Source organism: Homo sapiens, chromosome 18, assembly GCF_000001405.40.
Source record: "Homo sapiens chromosome 18, GRCh38.p14 Primary Assembly".
NCBI classification, from domain to species: domain Eukaryota; kingdom Metazoa; phylum Chordata; class Mammalia; order Primates; family Hominidae; genus Homo; species Homo sapiens.
Genome location: NC_000018.10, coordinates 9,337,766 through 9,360,854, shown reverse-complemented (window position 1 = coordinate 9,360,854; position 23,089 = coordinate 9,337,766). Strand labels below are relative to the sequence as shown.

At 36.2% G+C, this 23,089-nt stretch overlaps 1 protein-coding gene across 2 annotated transcripts in view, besides 1 other annotated feature; it reads right to left on the bottom strand.

The window, feature by feature from the left end:
• The window catches only part of TWSG1 (twisted gastrulation BMP signaling modulator 1), a 67,648-nt gene that overhangs the window by 41,566 nt on the left and 2,993 nt on the right, over nt 1–23,089 (bottom strand). Inside the window, exons 1-2 of one of the 2 annotated variants that reach the window (XM_047437675.1) lie at nt 17,822–17,844; nt 784–883 (exon numbers count right to left, since the gene is read on the bottom strand). In XM_047437675.1, coding sequence (XP_047293631.1) covers nt 784–829 — 46 coding nt within the window. In that variant the 5' untranslated portion in view covers nt 830–883; nt 17,822–17,844. Of the gene's footprint in view, nt 1–783; nt 884–17,821; nt 17,845–23,089 lie in introns of those variants that run through there. The other variant, NM_020648.6, reaches the window with a different exon arrangement.
• Nucleotides 11,814–11,983: an enhancer, noted in NCBI's record as "experimental_50729 CRE fragment used in MPRA reporter constructs". NCBI's record gives its function as "activates a minimal promoter by MPRAs in K562 erythroleukemia cells, with activity observed for both the introgressed and non-introgressed 18:9348955 variant alleles {active_cell/tissue: K562}" and the evidence as "EXISTENCE:reporter gene assay evidence [ECO:0000049][PMID:34662402]".

Sequence of the window (23,089 nt, the reverse complement as noted above, 5' to 3'; positions counted from 1 at the left end):
TGAAAGTGGTAGTCTCTGGGCATAGGATCAAAGGCTTGGAAAGAACTGAGATGGGATTGTTTTAGTACTATGTGACTTAAAAAGTATATGCATATAGCCTATTTCGATAAAGGATAATGTAAAAAAGATCAATATGATGATATTCCTGTTCTTAAGGAGGTGATACTCTGTCGAAAAAACATGCAAAACAACAATTATAGGAGCATGCAATAAATGATCTCTCAGAAGCATAGAGGATCCTTTATCTCAGTCAAATAAGGAAGGTTTCCAAGGAAAGGGGATACTTGAACTGGGGTTTTAAAAGTTAAAAATGAGTTAACTGGTCAGAGAAGGGCTGACAGGTGTTTCTTCCTACACACGTAAGTTTTCTTTCTAACACACAAATGATAGCATTCTATAAACATAATTTTGAACCTGACTTTTTTTACTTAACACATCTTGGAGAATGTTTCTTCTTATAAAACCTACTTCTTATTAAAAACAAAAAAAAAATGCTGCTGCTTATAAAAAATTCAACAGTACAAAAACTTTCAAAATAAAAAGTTAAACATTCTGCCTTGGCCCCCCACTCCTACTTCCCAAGGATAAGCACTTTTAAATACATGTATAGGTAAATACTACTGAATACAATTGAATGTAAAAATACAATGTTCTGTATGTTTACTATATTTCACACACATACTTGTTTATGCACATAAACTACATTTATATTCCTTAAAGTCTCTTAAAGCCAAGGATTCTGTGATAAGAAATATTAAGAAGTCTCCCTTGGTATCAACTTACCAACACAGTCACAGCACTCGTCCCAAAGGGCCCCAAGACACAGCATGCACTCCTTACAGCAGGAGCAATTGCCTTCTCCCGGCCGGCACTGGCAGAGCTCCTAGAAACAAGACAGATGTTAAACTTCAAATTCCAAATAATCATATATAAAACTGCTACTTTTTAAGCAAAAAACCCTGCCATATTTGCATTTACAGTAATGTATTCTTCACATAATTTTTTATTCAACATTATTAACTATTCATCAGAACATAAATATCTACAATGTCACGTAGATTTTTTTTGGATATATTCAGTGAACATACTTTGAATGCTTTTACCTTATTTTGAAATAAGGAAAATATTTTATTTTATAATCCATAACTTGACTACCCACACCACCTCAACGAATAATTCAGTACAAGAACAAAACCTGCTTCTCAGCTATTATATTCGTTGTCCAAATTTAAACAAATAGCCAACTTGTAGGGTTCCTCAATATGTAAAATGTGAGTAAAAGAACTTTGGAAATTCTATTTTTATTGTTCCATGATACAGAAAAAAGTGTGCTTGGTATGGTAGATTATTTACAAAGAAGGTGGCAATTATTCCCCTCTCTAGGTCTCCCCTCTTTGCAATGTAGCTTTGCAGCTCCTCTGATCAAAGGACAGGGTCAATTTCTAGACCTCTTGAATTTAGGTGATCCTGAGATTCACTTTGGTCAAGAGAGTTTGGTGGATATGAGATTATGTCACTTCTGAGTTTAGACCTCAAGAAGCCTTGAGTGCATCTACTCTTTCTCTTAGAACTTTGCCCAGCTGCCATGTGAAGCCAGGATATGGCCATGTGGACAAGTCAGTCCACCTGGGGCCATCCTAGATCAGCCAGCTTCCAACCAACCAGCAGCTGCCAACAGACACAGGAATAAGGCCAGAAAACCACCCAGCTGATCCAGGCTCAAACTGTCAACCCACAGAAACAAGAGTTAAATAAATGGCTATTGTTTTAACCCACTAAACTTTAGGGTGGTTTGTTATTCCACAAGAGCTAAGATAGCTTGCTCTGTACATGAAGTTCTAAAGCAATTCCTTTAGCACTTGCCCCTGCCCTCCCCTTGCCACCAGACTGCCAGTCCTGAACAAACCCAACTGAAATGGAAATTCCATAGCCACCACTGATTACTTGCTTTCCCTGGTTTAAGATACCATATATATTTATACGAAAAACATTAATATTTTATTATTTTGGTGGAAATAACTTATGACAAAACTGATTTTACTCTCAGGCTTAGAAGGAACTTCACAGGTCAACAAAACCATCCTTCCATGTAACACCTGAATCGCTTCTATAGTGTTCCATCAACATATGGCCATTGCAGCCCACAGCTGACAAGGAACTTAACAATCCAAAGTAGCCGGTCCTAATCTTATAAAGTTTTAAGTGTTTTCTTTTGTGGAACTGAAGCCTGATTCCCAGAAGCCTGCTCCTTAAGACCCCCCTCCTCCAAATATAATTTCTCTTCAACAAAGCCGTTCTAATTTTTCATGGCACCTGCACTGGACAGTTTGGAATGTCTGCCCTGATTGGCTGCTACCTGCCTTTGATTCCCACCCTGTCTGTCTGCAGCTCTGTTTTGAACTATATGACCTTTCTTCTCTCTGGCTACAAATAATTGGAACACAGGTGAAAAACAGACTGTAGCTGGTCAATCAGATTGTCTTCCAAGATTCTGGAAGTAAGACACAGATAATTGTCAATCTCTGTTAGGAATTTGAACTAGGGGATCATACAGAGCTGGTACTGGGGAGGCCGTTTCAAAATAAGAGGTAAAAAATTATCCTGTGGCCCCCCCATTCCTACTTTCCAAAGATAAGCACCATGACATTCATGGTCACAAGGAGAAGAGAAGGGAGGGAAGACGCCATTCTGATTCCTAATAATGCTCTAGTTCTTGGCTCTAGTCCTTTGCAACCAGCTGCACTTCCTGTTCTTAGAGATACTATTATCAGTTGGAGATATTCTTCATTGATATATTCATATCAATTGGAGTAGGCTTTATTTATTTCCAACCAAAAACGCCCTGTTTAAAACAAAATGATTTCTATTTTTATTCCCCCATGTCCTCATTTTAGATCAAATACTCCCATGGTTTCTTCACTTGTTCCCCATGACATGATGTTAACCCTGCCATTAGCTTTGTCATTAGGTGAAAGTGTGGTAATCTTAAATCATCATCATCCCCATCCCCCCCCTTCCCTGCTCCTCCTCCTTATGGCATAATGTAACTAGCCAAGAAGGAGAGAATCCCACTTACCTCCTTGATTGTGAACACTAGTTTTTAAAATTAAAGAAGCCTAAAATTTGTTTGTTTGGGGTAGCAATATGCTGTCAGCAACTGTGCTACTTTCAAATCATTCCAACAAATCATTTCAGTAAGATTTTAAAAATCTGAGACCTAATGGAATGCTATTGATATGTATGTTTTTAAAAATTAACTAGTGCAATGTAACTATTATTTCTCATTTCTGTACCTCAATACCGTGCTTTCAAAATGTAAACACAGACCACAATATTTATCCCTACTAAATTCATCTTATTATATTTCTACACTATTAGAGTCAGCCCATTATTCTAATACGACATTTTTTGCAGCACCGATTTTAATTCCTTGGGTTTTGTTATTGTTTTTTGTCTCCAAAAGTCCCCTTGCTAATTATACAGCACTTTCAAGAATCAACACTTGTGCTATTTTCTAACTAATTCATTAGTTTGATATAAGTGTATATGTGTGACCTAATATATGCACATTGTAATATTTTGGTACTGCAGAATTTTGTACACTCAGGCTGCATTCATGTGACATAGACATTAGGTAACTTTGCTGGGCCTATCAGAAACAGAGGGACTGAAAGGGCAGAGACTTAATGAGAAGTATAGCTGTTTCATCACAAAACTGGTGATGCGTGATTCAGACAGGCTCAAACTTAGTTGGAAATGTAGAAAAACAGAGTTGCCAAAGCTATACTTTGTCTTTGGAGTAAAAGAACATTTTCTGAGTACGCACTTTTTAGAAACACCATCAGATAAGAATACTAACAGTCTTTTTTTTTTTTTTTTTTTTAGATTTATAAAGGTTAGCACTTAGTCACAAGAAATAAAGCTTTTTAAAAAATTTTAATTTACTTTATATGTAGAAAATATCCTTTCACTATCTTAGTTGCTTATACAGGTTGAGTATTCCTTATCTGAAATGCTGGGTACCAAAAGTGTTTTGGATTTTTGAGTTTATTTGGATTTTGTAATATTTGCATTATACCAGTTGAGCATCCTGTATCCAAAAATCTAAACTCTTTCAATGAGCATTTCCTTTGATGTCATGTCAATGCTCAGAAAGTTTCCGATTTTGGAGCATTCTGGATTTCAGATTTTTGGATTTGAAATGTTCAACCTGTATTTATATTATTAACTAAACTAAGGAGAAACAAATTAGAAAAGTAACAAATCTATTCAAAGAATATAGTCTCTCCTTTTTCTGCAGCTTCCAAATGGTAGCTTGCTAAATGAATTACTGTATATTATGCCAAATAATTTTTTTAAATGAATGTCAATTTAATAGTTCCCATTAGAGAAATCTGAGTCTGTGAAGCATTCATTATGCCTTTTACTGTCAGGTATTTGTGAAGTGTTTTAAACTAGAATGAAAAGGTGGGTGAGAATGAGATTACTGCGAACAAACAGAAAGTTAAAACTAACGGCCTATTTAAAAGTCGCTTGAACTTGCCCAGGTTATCTAGCTCTGAAGATTAAATGTATTTCACACCCTCTTAATAGATGCCTGTCCTGCACTTTTACATACTGGTGTAAGAGAGTAATATGCTGTAGTCATATGCTTACTGCTTTATAATTTAGTGATAGAATACAACGTTAAAAGCTATGGTAAGGAGAAACAAGAGGGAAACGACAGAGATAAGCTTTCATTACTGTACAATTAAAGAGACAAAAATCCAGTTTAAGACTTTAATGGTAAAAACTACTATTAAAACTTGTTGGACACCAAACAACAATATCCTGGCTAATATTTTTCTTTCTTTCTACATTACTACAGAAAAGACTAAAAAACCATTGTCTTAATAAAGCAGAAATTTAATCACCATAAATTAAGAAATGTTCATAATTTGGGTAAATGAGCCTCCACATACATCAAATACTCTCTATTCTTCATAACTCACGTCAGCATTCTTTTTAGGAGATGGGCAAATAAGAAAAACAAGCTCTTCAAACCGACCTTTTGAAAACAGAGTTTGTGCCTGAAAACAGCATCTGTGCCTTTTCCATTTTCAAAAACACACCTCTTACTTTTCAGGAGAAATATAATAGGCAAATTTAATAGATGGCATTTAAAATCTTACTGCAAATCAGGAGAGCAAAAATATGTCTACTCTATGACTACTGTTTTTAAGTCAAGAAACAAACTGAAACAATGAATTTCCACATGCAAATAATTATAAATAGCAGTTTTATGAAGCTCATCAAGTAATTCATTCTTTTCTATTCATTCTACATGCCCTTAAAAATCACATTATTGAATAATGTTTGGTTGTGAACATATTTAGAAATGTATAATATTTTTAACAGCAAGCAAGCTGCGGTTAGGATGAATGTTTCTAAATATAATAACATTTGTAAAGTGCTTTGAACTCAAGTATTGAAAATAGAAAAGAAAAAACAACTCAGAACAACTCTCTGTGATGAAACAAGGATTACAGAAAAACATAAAAACTGCCCCATTTAAATCAAGCAGAATCTGTTCTTCAGAACACTTAAAAAGAAAACTTTAGGCCGGGTGTGGTGGCTCACGCCTGTAATCCCAGCACTTTGGGAGGCCAAGGCAGGCGGATCACAAGGTCAGGAGATCGAGACCATCCCGGCTAACATGGTGAAACCCCGTCTCTACCAAAAAATACAAAAAATTAGCTGGGCATGGTGGCGGGTGCCTGTAGTCCCAGCTACTCAGGAGGCTGAGGCAGGAGAATGGCGTTAACCTGGGAGGCGGAGTATGCAGTGAGCCGAGATGGGGCCACTGCACTCCAGCCTGGACAACAGAGCGAGACTCTGTCTCAAAAAAAAAAAGAAAACTTTACCCCTAGCTGTTTCACTTATAAGAACACATGTCTTCTATAACCAGAAAGGCTAAAGTCAAGATAAAAAGAAAGGTTTTACCAAAATTTTAAAAGTATTTCTTTAATTATATAAGACTTTGGAAAATATCTACTAGAGTAGAAAGAAAGAACCCTAAATTCCTCCCCCTTTGGTAAATTCCTATGCATGTCTAACAAAATAATGATTATATACTACCTTGATCTAAAAAAATAGCATTTCTCTATCATAAAAAATCTGTCAACATAATTTAATCAGCGCATAATAGTACATCAATGTGCCAAAATTCAGAAACAGTGATTAAATTCTTAATCCTTTCCACACCTTGTCCACTTTCTCATTTTTTATCACCTTCATAAACTTCATCAGTTTCTATTTTACTATTATTTCAAAGTCTCCACTCCTTAAACAGAAAATACGGTAGAGTTGAAATTTAGAATCTTCTCTTTGGACTGGGTTATTTATATATTTTACTAACCTCACTATGACTAAATTTGGGTTCTGCTCAGTTGAATGGAACATGTGATCAAAACTAAACACCAAGTTCCCTGAAGTCCAAAATAAAGACTGACTCAATGCTTCCAATTATTTACTGCTACCACCTCCCCCAAAGTCCTTAAATGGGTTCTATTTAACCCTTATAGGCACTGTGCTAAGTATTTTATATGCATTGTCTTGAATCTCATAAAGATTCATGTCGTTATTATCCTTATTTTTTAAGTGAAGTCATGAAATTTATACAACTTCATTCAATTAGTGGCTAGAATTTGACCCCAGTTATGGTTAGGTATTCCTGTTTTGTAAACATTAAAATGAGAAATATAAAAGTTATTTTTCATTAAATTAACATTTTAATAATTACAGTTATTACTCTCTTAGAAAGAATAAGCCTATAATTAAACTTAGATAATTCTTTAGATTGTTTAATCAAAGGCATTATTATATCTTTCACTCTCAGTACCTGAATACAACTAGAAATGCTATTGCCCAAGTTTAATCATTGTTTGTAAAGGTAAAATTGGACTCATTGGCTAAGAGTTGCAAAACCAGTGACTTGGAATGCAATACTTAATTTTTTTTGTTGTCGCTTCAGCTGGTTAATGACTATATCTTCTGCTTCCCTAGTCTGCAAGTCACAGAGAAAGTGTGGTTGTTCCTCATGTGGAGAAGAGAAGGCTGAGAATGAGTGGTTTCATGATTTCTGTGAGTTCACACAACTGCGGCTTTGAAACAAGGTCTTCTGACTCAAGGCTTTTTCTACCACCACTGCTCTTGCATGTTAGAGGCAAGGTAATATGGAATAAGACATCTTCTATGTGTAAATAACTATGCTAGATGTTCTTAAAGTTTGGTAGACACGTTGTTCAATAATTTTATGATGGAAAAAAATTAAAACTTTACACTAAATGGTAAACTGAAATTTATACATTTGAGCTACTCTCTATTGACCAGTATGAGTATTTAGAGAGAATTTGGCAAACTGTTTTCAAAGCTTATATGAAATGAAAGTCTGGCAGGATGAAAAGTTTGAGGGAAAAATCTAATCATTCAAAATGTATTTTACTACATTTATATTAAGGAAAACCTTCAATATGACAGAGAATTTCAAATTTTTAGATGCCAGAAGACAGATTCGATCATCTTTAGAGAAGAATCTTATTCCATATACAGTCACGCTTTATCGCTTAAGGATAGGGATACATTCTGAAAAATGCATCCTTAGGCAATTCTGTTGTTATATGAATATCAGTATATACTTATACAAACCTACATGGTAGAGCCTGCTATAACCCTAGGCTATATGGTATGGCCTATTGTTCCTAGGCTACAAACCTGTACAGCATGTTACTGTTCTGAATACTGTAAGCAATTATAACACAATGGTAAATATTTGCATGTCTACACATATCTAAACATAGAAAAGGTACAATAAAAATACAGTATTATAATCTTATGTGACCACCATCATATATGTTGTCTGCCATTGACCAAAATGTTGTTACACAGTGCCATGACTATACAACTGATGCTCTGGTCAGATATTAATTATTTATGCAAAATAAATTGAGGGGGAGTATATTTATCCAAGATTAAGATTAGACTTTAAGAGTTAACATTTATTGTATGAACTCCCAAATTTCTAGGCCAGAAATGGAAACTAACAACTTGAGGAAGAATCTTATTAATATTGACTCTCAGTTACTGATAAATATTTCCATTCTTGTTGCAAAGATCTGAGAGATTTGTTAACCCTGTTGCTATAATAAAACAAGGAAACGTCATTGAAAACAACATTATATTCTAGTAAAGATAGCAAATGACTTGGACTTACAAGATCTGGTTTTAAGCCCATAAGCTGTTTGCAACCCTGAGTCTCGGTTTCCCAGTCATAAAAAAGGAATGGTGTTCCTGGATTTTCCCTTACAAACTTGGGCATCCCAATGAGATAACGAATATCAAAATGCTCCGGTGACCCAGCAATCCCATTCCTAGGTATTTACTCAAGAAAAATTAAAACATAGGTCCATAAAAAGACCCATATGGGAAAGTATCAACATCATTCATAATTACTGAAAACTGGAAACCACGCAAGGTCCAACAATCAGTGAATGGATAAACAAATTGTAGTACATCCACACAAAGGAATCCTACTCATCAATAAAAAGGAAAGAACTACCCAACACACACAATAATATGGATGAATCTCAAAGCATTATACTGAATGAAAGAAGCTAGACAGAACAAAAGGCTATATACTGTATGATTCCTTTTATATAACATTCTGGAAAAGGCAAAACTATAGAGAAAAAAAATCAAATCAGTGGTTGCCAGGGGCTGAGGCTAGGGAAAAAGCTAGGTCCAGCTACAAAGGGGGCACAAGGGAATGCTTTAGGGTGATGAAAAATATTCTCTATCTTGATTGTAGTAGTAGTTACATGAGTACATGTTTGTCAAAAATCATAAAACTGTACATCTAAAAACAGTGAACAGGCTGGGAGCAGTGGCTCATGCCTGTAATCCCAGGATTCTGGGAGGCCAAGGTGGATGCATTGCTTGGGCTCAGGAGTTTGAGACCAGCCTGGCCAATACAGCGAAACCCCATCTCTACTAAAAAAATACAAAATTAGCTGGGGGTGGTGATGCGTGCCTGTAATCCCAGCTACTCAGGAGGCTGAGGCAGGAGAATCACTTGAACCCAGGAAGCAGAGGTTGCAGTGAGCTGAGATGGAGCCACTGTACTCCAGCCTGGGTGACAAAGCGAGACTCTGTCTCAAAAAACAAAAAAACAAAAAGACAAAAAAAAAAAAAAAAACCCAGCATGGTACACTGGGGTTTCTTCATAAATTTTAAAGAAATAAACCTAAACTGAAAAATATAAAGCATTAAGTTGGTATTAAAGCAATGCAGAAGACAGTTCTAACTCTGAAAATATATTGCTTTAATTTACTTTTAACCTAAAACTGAAATTTTCTAACCAAACATAATTTTTTTCAAAGAAACATAAAATAATGCTAGTGAAAATGTAAAACACAAAAGTTGTATATACCATAAAATTGTTAAAAATAATCTAAACAGAGAATAAAAACCAGAAGGAGCTATATCAAAATAGTAAGAGTAGTATGTGTTTGGATAATAGGACTAAGAACGTTTTACTCTTTTTTTCTACTTCTCTGTATTTTCTGAATTTGGGGGTAGAAAATATATTTTTATAATAGCAAATAAACATTTAATTTATTTGGATATTATGACTTCTTAAGATCCAGTTTAATTAATGTTTGAACAATTACAAAAGATATTTAAAAACACAAACTGAGGTTCTTAAATTAAGGAAACTAAGTATTTATAATGTCTTGAGCTAAAAAACAGAAATGTAGGAATAAATCTAATTAAGTATTTACTTGCATATTGTGTAAGCATAAGTAATCAATGAAGCATTATATTATACCTATGCTGACACTACTTTTACTTAGGTCAAATGAGTATTTTAAAATAAATAAATAAATAAATAAAATATTCAATTAGCCCCTATTCAAAAGAATAAACAATTATAATTAGATTGGGTTATAACAAATCTGTTTTGCCATAATACTCTTTAAGGAGGGCATCACATGAATCTTCAAACCCAGGAGAGAAATATCAACCCAACCTCATTAGCATGTTGTTCTTTACAAATTCTAACTGATTGGTAAACTTTTGTCCTGAAAATAACATACACTTGAATGAATCAGTATTGAAAAGAGTACTTATTTTTGGCTAAATAAGTCAGCATACAAGTTCATGTATATATATGAATTACCAAAATATATCAAACAGTGCCTCTTTCTCACATAAACCTAGTAACAAACATTTAGATGCTAATCCTACTTACTGTACAAGTCCCCCAGTGAATTTCTTTAAAAGAATCCAGCTGGAGTGAGTTGGGAGTAGGTACAGATGAGACTGACCACATGTTGATCACTGTTGAGGCTGAGTAATGGGTAAATGGGGGGGTTATTTTACAATTTTTCCTACTTTATGTATGTTTGAAAATGTCCGTGTGTCCCAGTGAAATCCTCATTTTGTTTTAACAATGCAACAGGTGAAACAACTAGTGAAAATAAATTTTAATCTCCATTTATATATTAGCAGCTACTATAACTGCATTAAACATTTGGAGGGAAACGATGTATTCTTTCTTTAAATTATATCAGGCCTAACTCATTACATTTGAACATTAATTTCAGAGATTTTCATGGGGTGTTAACTGAAGCAAAACAGGACAAAAATAGGTTAGCGCCACAACTTTTTTTTTTTTTGAGATGGAGTCTCGCTCTGTTGCCCAGGCTGGAGTGCAGTGGCACGATCTCGGCTCACTGCAACCTCCACCTCCTGGGTTCAAGCGATTCTCCTGCCTCAGCCTCCTGAGTAGCTGGGATTACAGGTGCACGCCACCATGCTCGGCTAATTTTTGTATTTTTAATAGAGACGGGGTTTCACCATGTTGGTCAGGCTGTTCTCAAACTCCTGACCTTGTGACCTGCCCGCCTCAGCCTCCCAAAGTGCTGGGATTACAGGCGTGAGCCACTGCACCCAGCCATGGCACCACAACTTTTAAGAGCAGGAAAATGGGATGAAGAGGAAAGAAACAATTTAGGAAAATAATGTTCACGAGAGAAAAGAGAAAACATTTTACATTGTAAACCAAAATATTACTAGTGTACTAACAAATCAAGATAACTATAGCAAGAGACTAAAGTTGAATCTAATTTGCACTGATTAAGAAAAAAAGAAGAAAAAGTTAATTCTTTAGTTTACTGTAATTAAGGAAGCCCTAAACTTACCTGAACTATTTATTTTTAACTTAAGACAAAATATACTTTTAAAAGCTAGAATTATTAATGAGAAGTAAACTATTTTAAAATTCCAACTTATTTCAGAAAACTTAAGATTTATTTAATAACTAAATCAATTTTTAGAATAAAAAAGCAGACTGTCAATTTAGCACATAAAAGAGCTAAATAAATGTTCAGACAACAAAGTACTAAAATGATGCATTATCTCTGAACCCAATTTTGAATATTTTCATGAAATACAATGTTTATGTCATCCTAAAAACTATCATAAATATTAGCCAAAGTACTCACAAGTTAATATAGGAGTTTTTCCACTCTTAATACAAAATGGGACTTGAGATTTCTGGGGTATAGCATAATATTGATCCAAATTTTAAAAATTATTTTCACAAAAGCAGCAGGGGAAAGTAGTAAAGATCTTCTTAAAGGAAAATCCCATATTACCAAATTTTTTTTTTCCTGAAACAGGATAACTAAACCCCTCATTATATGAGCAAGGAAGTACACCCAAGATGAATTTTACTTTCTTGATGTTTAAAGTTAGATTTCTTTCCTGTTAGAAGCACAAAATAAATATTTATATAGGGACCACCTTTAGGCACAGCAACTTGTAGGAGTGGCAGGAATGACTGTACTGCTTTGCAACCATGCTGGTAAAAAATATTTACATAAGAGCTTCCAGGGAAAATTTTTCATACTTAGTTATAAGTGTAGAGGATGCAATATAAACAAATGTTCTAATTTATCCTCATAGTACATCAGTTCAACATTACAAATGTTCAAACTAAACCAATTTAACAAAAAGAAACCTAAATTCTCTCTACAAGGGAACTAATATCTTTTTATAAACTTTTATAGCATTGCATCTTTGTCTTTCTTAAAGTACTTATCTTCCACCTTATTGTATTCATTTCTGTACATCTTCTGCAAGTTTAAGGAGAAAAGCAGCTCTCGTTATCTAAAATGTCAATGTGCCCTGTACTTCGCAGAACATGAAAGTGGAATTTTAATAACTCAGTATGTTGGAATGGAAAGCAAAGCCACAACAATGTTTAACCTTTTCAGGTTCACCAACTGCTGTGAGAACTTCCTGACAGCTGTGGACCTTTTCCCCAGAAAACTGTGCACAGGCAATTTTGAATATAACCTTGGGGATCTCCTGAATATAATCCGGGGGATACCCCTTAAGAGGTCCAGGGCCCCAGTTAACAATCACTGGCACATGAAATACCAAGAGCCAAACCATTCTTCAACTAAAGAGAACAGGGATAAAAAGAGGATGTTCAAGTTCAGGTTTCTATCAGATCAGTTAGGCTACTCCCACAATAGACCAAAAAGACAAGAACTAGGCATCTACTGACCATCTACTCATGTCCAATCACAACAAGAAAATCAGCCAATCAAAATAAACAAATAACCAACAATTCTCTTCAGGAAGATGATTAGCCTCAGAGCAGAGAACACATTCCAGCATCAAGGCCTTCCTTATCCCCAAGTGTTCTCTGCTGTAAGTCCAGTCTGTAAGTCCTATCTAAATACATGGATCTCCCAACCAGGTTTTATTGCCTCATTCTTAATTATATATTGACAACCAAAGAAATGTATACATTTGAAGAAATCCTGACACATAAAAAAGACATAAAAGAAAAAAAGATCTCGAAAGAGATAATCCAGGTAACAGAGTTGGGGGAAGGGGACACACACCTCCTCCACCAGCAAAAAAAATTCCAATAAGTATCCTTGAAGACACTGAGGAAAATAATGCATCCAAAAAAAACAAGTAAATAATATTAATAGGAAAAATTAACAAGCAATAAATAAGAGCTCTTGAAATGTAAAAGTTATTGCTAAAATTAAAAAATTCAATAGAAAGAGTCCAAAGGTAAGGTCAGGAAATTTCCCAGAATATAGAGTAAGAAGGTATGATGGGATAGAAAAGAGCTAATATGCTATACAGAAGCAATGAACAATCCAAAAATGAAATTAAGAGAATAATTCCACTAACAATAGCATCAAAAAGAATAAAATACTGATAAATAAATTTAACAAAAGAAATGTAATACACAGAAAACTACAAAATATTGTTGAAAGAAATGAAAGAAAATCCAAATAAAAGGAAAGGCACACATGTTCATGAAACAAAGACATAATACTGCTAAGATGGCAACACAGTACTCCCCAAATTGATCTACAGATTCAATGCAATCCCTATTAAATCTTAGCTGGCAATACCAAAGCCACAATTCATGAAAGAAATAAATGATAAGCTGGACTTTATTGAAATTTTAAACTTCTGCTCTGCAAAAAATACTCTCCAAAGAATCAGATGACAAGCCATAGACTAGGAGAAAATATCTGCAAAAGACTTTTCTGATAAAGGACTGCTATACAAAACATACATACAGAGACCTCAACAATAAAAAAAGTAAACAACCCAATTAAAAAATGGGCCAGAGATTCTTAACAGACACCTCACCCAAAAAGGTATACAAATGGCAAATAAGTATAAGACGCTCTCCATCATATGTCATTAGAGAATTGCAAATTAAAACAATATGATACCACTATATACCTATTTAGATGGTGAAAATCCAAAACACTTAAAACACCAAATGCTGGTGAGGATGTGGAGCAATAGCAACTCTCATTCATTGCTGGTAGGAATGCAAAATGGTACAGCCACTTTGAAAGACAGTTTGGCAATTTCTTACAAAACTAAACATAGTCCTACCCTACAACGCAGCAATTACACTCCTTAGTATTTAGCCAAATGAAGTGAAAACTTATGCCCACACAAAACCTGCACATGGATGGTTATAGCAGCTTTATGTTATTTTATAGGGACAGGGTCTCGCTTGGTTATCCAGGCTGGAGTGCAGTTGTGTGATTATAACCTACTGTAGCCTTGAACTCATGGGCTCAGCCATCCTCCTACTGTGGCCTCCCAGTTAGCTAGGACTACAGGTGCACACCAGCACTCAAGACTTTTTTTTTCTTTTGGTAGAGATGGGGGTCTCACTACAATCTTGAATTCTCAGCCTCAAGGGACCCTCCTGCCATGGCCTCCTAAAGCACTGAGATTATAGGCCTGAGCCACCATGCCTGGCTAAGCTTTATTCATAGCTACTAAATCTTAGAAGCAATCAAGATGTCCTTCAATAAGTGAATGGATAAACAAACTCTAGTACATCCATACTAATCAGTGAGTGCAATATTAATCAGTAAGTACATTCATACAATGGGATATTATTAGGTAATAATAAGTGATAAAAATAAATGCATTATCAAGCCATGAAAAGACATAAAGGAAACTTAAATGTATACTGCTAAGTCAAAGAAGCCCCTTTTAAAAGGCTACATTCTGTATGATTCCAACTATATGACATTGTGGAAAAGGCAAAACTACAGAGACAGTAAAAAACATCAGTGGTTACTAGGGGACTGGGGGGAGGTAGGGAGGGATGAAGAGGTTGGCTATGGGGATTTTTAGAGCAATGAAACTATTCTGAATGATACTGTAATGGTAGATACAAGACATTATGCATTTGTCAAAACCCATAAAAATGTAAAACACAAAGAGTTAATGCTAATGCAAAGCATAGATTTTAGTTAATAATAGCATATCAATATTGGTTCATCAATAGTAACAAGTATACCACACAGATGCAAGATGTTAATAATAGAAGAAACTGGGGATATGTGGGGGGAATGGGTATATGGGAACCCTTTATACTCTCTGCTCAATTTTTCTGTAAACCTAAAACTTTTCCAAAAAATAAAGTCTATTATATATTTTTTTAAGATCCCAGCTGGCTTTATTACAGAAATTGACAAGTTGATTCTAAAATTCATATGAAAATGCAAGGGACCCAGAACAGCCTAAGCAATCTTGAAAAAGTACAAAGTTGGAGAACTCAGACTTCCTGATTTCAAAACATACTACAAAACTACATAATCAAGACAATGTGGTACTAGCATAAAAATAGAGATATAAACCAATAGAATAGAACTGACAGTCCATAAATAAACCGTTTATGGTGAAATGGTTTTGAACAAGGGTGGCAATATAACTCAGTGGGGGAGAAATGTTGCTGGGACAAGTGGATATCCATATACAAAATAATAAAGTTGGATCCCTACTTCACTGCAGGCTTGAACTCCTGGGCTAAAGCGATCTTCCCACCTCCATCTCCCAAAGTGCTGGGATTACAGGTACATGCCACCACACCTGGCCTAAAACTCTAAAATTCTTAGAGGAAAACATACAAGTAAATCTTTATGACTTTGGCTTAGGTAATGGTTTCTTAGATACAACACCAAAAGCACAAGTAACAAAAGAAAAAAACAGAAACATTGGATGTCATTAAAATGTAAAACTTTTGTGATACAAATGATACATAGTAGTTGAAAAGACAACCCACAGAATGAGAGACAATATTTGCAAATAATGTATCTGACAAGGGTCTTGAGCCCAGAATATATAAAGAATTCTTACAACTCAACAATAAAAAGACAAGCCAATTTTAAAATGAGCATAGGTTCTGGGTTGGGCATGGTGGCTCACACCTGTAATTCCAGCGCTTTGAGAGGCCAAGACAGGACGATCACTTGAGACCAGGAGTTCAAGACCAGCCTGGGCAATACAGTGAGACCCCCCATCCCTATAAAGAATTTAAAAATTTTAAAAATTAGCTGAGTGTGGTGGCACATACCTGTAGTCCTAGCTACTCAGGAGGCTGAGGCAGGAGGATCGTGTTGGCCCAGGAGTTCAAGGCTGCAGTGAGCTATGATAGAGCAACTGCACTCCAGTCTGGGCAACAGAATGAGACTCTCGTCTAAAACAAACACACACACACAAAAAAGAGCACTGGTTTTCAATAGGTATTTCCCCAAAGATATACAATAAGCTAACCAGACATGGTGGTGCATGCCTATAGTCCCAGCTACTTGGGAGACTGAGGTGGGAGGATTGCTTGAGTCCAGGAGGTTGAGGTTGCTGTTAGCCGTGATTGCACCACTGCACTCCAGCCTGGGTGACAGAGCAAGATCCTCTCTCAAAAAAAAAAAAAAATACATACATACACACACACACACACACACACACACACACATGCATTCACTAAGCACATAAAAAGATGCTCAACATCATTAGCTATTAGGGAAATGCAAATCATAACCACTCCACAAAGGTGCTACAATAAAAAGGAAAGATAAGTGTTGGTGAGGCTATAGGGAAACTAGAACTCTCATACACAACTGGTAGGAATGTAAAATAGTGCAGCCACTTTAGAATAAACACTTCAGCAGTTCCTCAAAATGTTAAACACAGAGTTGCCATATGGCCCAGCAATTCTACTCCTAGGTATATACAAAAGAAAAATTAAGAGATACATCCAGGGTTGTCTGTAGCAGCTCACACCTGTAACCCCAGAACTTTGTGGGGCCAAGGCAGGAGGATCGTTTGAGGACAAGAGTTCAAGACCAACCTGGGCAACATAATAAGATCCTGTCTCCACACACAAAAAATTTTTTTAATTAGCCAGGTATGGTGGCACACACCTGTAGTGCTAGCTACTTGGGAGGCCAAGGTGAGAGGATCGTTTGAGCCCAGGAGTTCAAGGTTACAGTGAACAATGATTGCACCACTGCCTGTGTGCACAGGCAGTAAACAAACCTGTGTAACACAGTTTATCTCTTAAAAAACAAACAAAGATACATCCACACACTGAAACTTGAATATTCATAGCAGTATTATCTACCATAGCCAAAAATATAAGTAACTCAAATATCCTCCAACCAATAAATGGATAAATAAAATGTGGTATGCCCATTCAGCAGAATATTATTTGACCAAGGAATGAAATACTGAATATGTTACAACACACAGGAACCATGAAAACATTATGCTCAATGAAAGAAGTCAGACACAAAAGACAAGGTATGATTCCATTCATATTAAATGTCCAGAACAAGCATGTAGAGAGAAAGTAAACTGCCTAGGGTTTGTGGGGAGAGAGAATAGGAAATGACTTCTAAAGGGTATGGAGTTCCCTTCTAAAGTAATGAAAATGTTCTGAAATTAGATTGTGGTGATGGTTGCACAAGTCTGTCGATATGCCAAAACCACTCAATTGTACCCTTAAATGGGTAAATTTTATAATATATGAATCATATATCTCAATAAAACTGTTTTTTAAAAAAAATCTAACAGAGAATCCATCTTAGATTTATACTAATAAGAGTTCCAGAAAGAAAAGAGGACACTATACATAATTATATATTATACAAAAATATAGTTATATAAAACGTATATATTATATATGTATGTATGTTAGGACAAGATATATATATATATATATATATATATATATATATATATATATATATATATAACAAAAAACAAAACAGGGCATTTCCTAGTCTTTGGCTCAAAACTGATCCCCAAAAGACTCACAAGATACCAAACAGAATGAATGAAAAGACCAACACTAGACTCAACAGTTTAAATTCCATAATATGAAGGCTAATGAGATGATACTAAAAGTTTCTAGAGAGAATAACAAAGTTACCTATAGAGAATAAGAAACAGACTGGCATCAGACTTCTTATTGGCAATATGGAATGCTATTAGATAATAGAGAAATGTCTCCAAAGTTCTGAGGGAAAAGAATTTAACATAGAATTCTGTATTCAGGCAAACCATCAGTCAGGTGAAAGGTGAGAATAAATACATCTTCAAGACATGCAGGACCCAGAAAGCTTACTTTCCACACAGGCTTTCTTAGGAAGTTACTTGAGGGCATGTTGGGACAAAATAAGGGTTACTGTTAAAAACAACAAGATACGAAATCCAAGAAACACTGGAACCAACTTGGGAAAGTAATGATGGAAAGTCACCATAAGACAGCTTGCATCAGACCTAGATTGCAATCAGTTAAGTCTGGAAACATCAAGACTGAAGGCTCCATTTGGGAGGAAAAATACATTAAGTACTTAAAACAATATAAGGTGCTAATGATTGATGATACAAGGTAAAGAAAGATAATTAGAAACTCAAGAAAAACAAAATCATTCAAGAAGGGAAATGTAATCATAGTACCTATGTGACTACAGTCAACAGTCAACAATATTTATATAATCATTACAATATAAACATGGTTTATTGCCAGTTTTAGAATATACCTGTAAATAAAGCATTAGAAGATTCAAATAGAGTTACAAAACAGAGAAATAAGGTTAGTAATTACCTATAGTGCACTCACGTGCCAGGCATTGCTCTAAATACTTTACACCTAATCCTCACAATACTCGCACAGTATGGTTATTATCCCTGCTTTACAGATGAGGAAATTGAGGCATTGAGAGATTAACTAACTTGCCCAAGGTCATACAACCAGTAAGTGGCAGAACTGGATCCAAATTCAGATAGCCTGGTTCCAGAGTTCATACGCTTAACCATTATACTATGCAGCCTCTCAGAATGTAGATGTTATCAACCTTGACAATATAAAAGTAAAAGTACAGGTAACACTCCGTTCCCCACAGATTTTGATGCAGCCCATCAGAATTCCAAAAGTAGCCCATCAGAATGCCAAAAGTAGAAAATTTCAAGGGCAGTACTCATAAATGCAAGGGAAAAAACTGATTTCTTTGCTTTCTATGATGTTAAACATGGTAGCTTCACATGATCTCCCAAGACTGGAACCCAAACAAACCCTCTCTTCAATTCCCTCAAGAAATGCACTGTTCTTAAAACTCACTTATAGTCTGTCTCATTGCTAAAAAAAAAAAATAATAAAATAAAATAAACTTTAAAAGGAAAGGACTATTAATATTCTCCACTTACATCAGGAATAAAGAGATAGTGTCTCCAGTTGATAGAACAGAATAGAAAACCTTAAATATATTGAAGAAATTGAAAAAATAACCAAGAGATAAACTCAAAACTGTGATACAAGTGTGGCAGGGCAGGAGTGGGAAGGATGACATGATGAGCTATGACCTTATCTGTTATAGCAGAAAGGCAATTTTAGATATATAACATCTAAAACTGATGAATCAAGAAATAGTAGTACAAGCATATTATTTAGGCATATGGCTAAAAATTACTAACAGAAGTAAAAATATAAGAGTTAGATTAAAAGCGGTTTTCCCAGGGTAATAGAATGAGTAGGGAGAATTAGATCAAGAGATTCAATTTTTCACTATGTAGCCTTCTAATAATTTAATAATTTATTACTCTGATGAAAAAAAGAGAACATTTGACACATACTAGTTGGTTTCTTTCTTTAAAACTGCCTAGAACTAGAAGAAAATTTTGAGCTCACCTAGCCAGCCAATTCACTTTACAGTTTATATGTGGCAGAGTGTATTTTCCACAGATGGCCACACCATTATATCCCATCCACATGTTCAGCTTACAACATGACACTGTCACTCCTCCAACAGAGGTGGGGCCTATGTTCCCTCCACTTAAATCCAGGTGGACCTGCAGGAGAGATCATATAGCAGGATCACAGAGACACACACATATATACACAGAGAGAGTGAAAGGGAGAGAGGGAGGGAGATGGGGATAGAGAAGGGAGGAAGGGGAGGAGAAGTCAGGAAGAGACGTATACCTGAAGAATCTTCCCAGCCCAGGTATTAGACTTTATCAGTGAGCCTTCAGATTTTCAATGTCCAATACGTGGCCACTAGTCATATGCAGCTATGCAGCTAATGAAATTGAAATTGAATTAAATTTAAAATCAGATTTTCAGCCATACTAGTCACATTTCAAGTACTTGGTAGCCACGTATGGCTAGATTCTACTGTATTGCACAGGGTAGATGTAGATCTTTTCCATCATCGCAGAAAGCTCTATCTATAGTGCTGTTTCAGATAATTCCACCCCCACCACCTTCAAGCCGCCTTGCTAATGCCACGTGGAACAGAGATGAACTCTTCCGCAGAGCCCTGCTCAGAATGCAAATTCGTGAGCAAAATAAATGCTGTTTCCAGCCACTGGTTTTTGGGGTGGTTTGCCACACAGCCATAGTAAGAGGAACACATGGAAACTAAAGATCAGAATGTGAAATAATCTGCTAGAGTTTGGGAGTCCACAAAACTAGGTGAAGAGTGGAACTAATCACATTTCATTTCAACACTCAATAAATGTTTGTGAATAAACAAACAAGAAAATCCTCAATATTTGAGCCCTAGATCTTTTCTTTTTTTTTTTTTTTTTTTTTTTGAAATGGAGTCTTGCTCTGTCGCCCAGGCTGGAGTGCAGTGGCATGATCTTGGCTCACTGCAAGCTCCGCCTCCTGGGTTCACGCCATTCTCCTGCCTCAGCCTCCCGAGTAGCTGGGACTACAGGCGCCCATCACCACGCCTGGCTAATTTTTCGTATTTTTAGTAGAGACGGGGTTTCACCATGTTAGCCAGGATGGTCTTGATCTCCTGACCTTGTGATCCGCCCGCCTCGGCCTTCTGAAGTGCTGGGATTACAGGCTTGAGCCACCGCGCCCGGCCCAGCCCTAGATCTTTTCTAAATCCAAGTAGTCTACCATCCACCAGGATAGTTGTGTCCACTACTCCAGAAAAAAGTTTGATGTTTCCTGGCTCTGAAGCTACAACGGAATATCAGAAATGTCAGCATCCATGAATTTGTGACTGAAAATACGTCCTAGCTGATTTTGTTTACTAGAATCACCATTTGAGTTAGGTGAAGCTCCATTTGCTTTTCCAGTTTTTTTACACTGATATAGTACTCTTTACATTTTGAAGTATTTTGTTTTTTTACAATTTTTTTTTTTGAGACAGAGTCTTGCTCTGTCGCCCAGGTGGGAGTGCAGTCGCACGATCTCAGCTCACTGCAACCTCCGCCTCCTGGGTTCAAGTGATTCTCCTGCCTCAGCCTCCCAAGTAGCTGGGATTACAAGCATGCACCGCCATGCTCAGCTAATTTTTGTAATTGTAATTTTTTAAATTTTTTTAATGGCCAGGCACGGTGACTCACACCTGTAATCCCAGCACTTGGGAGGCCGAGGTGGCAGATTGCTTGAGCTCAGAAGGTTGAGACCAGCCTTGGCAGATCGCTTGAGCTCAGAAGTTTGAGACCAGCCTTGGCAACATGGCAAAACCCTGTCTCTACCAAAAATACAAAGTAAATTAGCCAGGCATGGTGCCACGTGCCTGTAGTCCCAGCTACACCAGAGGCTGAGATGGGAGGATCGCTGGAGCCTGGGAAGTCAAGGCTGTAGTAAGCTGTAATAGAGCCAAAAAATTTTTAAAGAGTCAAACAAACAAAAAAACCTTTACAAGTATCTACCCATATTAATCAAAAGCTTTCTCTTTTAAATACTCCCTTTAAAAGCAAGGTATTTTAAATAAAGTACAATTTTTTTTTTTTTTGAGACAGGGTCTTGCTCTGTCACCCAGGCTTCAGTGCAGTGGCACAATCATAGCTCACTGCAGCCTCAACCTCCTGGGCTCAAATGATCCTCCTGCCTCAGCCTCCCAAGTAGCTGAGACTACAGGTGTACATGATCATGCCCAGCTAATTTTAAAAAAACTATTTGTTGTAGAGACAGGGTCTCACTGTGATTCCCAGGCTGGTCTGAAACTCCTGGGCTCAAGTGATCCTCCTGCCTCAATCTCTCAAAGTGCTGGGATTACGAGGCATGAGCCACTGTGCATGGCCAAAGTACAATTTTTAATTACTTGAACTAATGCAAGTTATAGAGTTGAAGAGTCAAGAATATAATTTGGAATTTAAGAGAATTTCCATCTAAACATGAATACAGCAAATGTTATGAGACTTTATTGTGAATAATGAATAATGAAGCTACATTGAAACAATCTGGGAGGTACCACAGACTCCTCATCTGACCATAGCACAAAACTGGGCTTCATTTGCAGACACAAAGTTTCCAGCCAACACAAGCCTAAGCAGGCGTGCCTTATTAAGATTTCCACATACAAAATTAGGTGATTAAAGAATTAGTGTTAATTTTTAAACTGTAAAATTGGTCTAATAGCTATGTTGGTAAAGAGTTCTCTTTTAGAGATACATATTAGAATTATCAACAAAACAGTATCAAGGGATTTGCTTGAAATTAAAACAGCTGGGAGTGAATAATGTAGGAGGGTATAGATAAAATAAGAGTAGCCATGAGGTAGTGACTGCAGTAACTACTCATGGATGGTTCATTATATTCTTCTCCTTTTATACCTGAAAATGTCCACAGCGAAAAAGTTAAAAACTGAACAGCAAACACACTTCTCTAGTTAAATGTTTTGGTTTGAAATGCAAAGTTAGGGTTATCAGAGTACGAAATGGGGGCAAGTAGAATTCCAACTATTAGCGAGAAGGACCAAAATGTCAGAAATAAGCACAAAATGCTTCTGATGTATAAAAACAATTGTCACTCTAGCACATATACACAATTACTCTCAAGTGAGGGTTACAGTCATGTTAGCTGACTCATACTTTACATAGAATGCTAATGTGTGTGGCTACTGAATTTCTGAGTGCACAGCCTGCAACTAGAAAGGAAGCTAATCAGGAGTTCAATACGAGCCTGTTAACTTAGCCACATTACTTCCTCTTACTTTTCTCCCCAGAAAAATGAGAGTGGTGGCTACATTAAGAGGCCTGCCTTGATGATTGGAAGAGATATAACTTCGAAGTATCTTGAAAGCAGATTGTCCAATCCCAGCCAACAACTTGCCTGCAACATTGTGGGAGACCCTAAGCCACAGCCACCTGGCTAAACTGCTCCCAGATTCCAGGCCCTCAGAAACTGCATGAAATAATACATGTTTATTGCACTAAGTTGCTATGTTTTGGG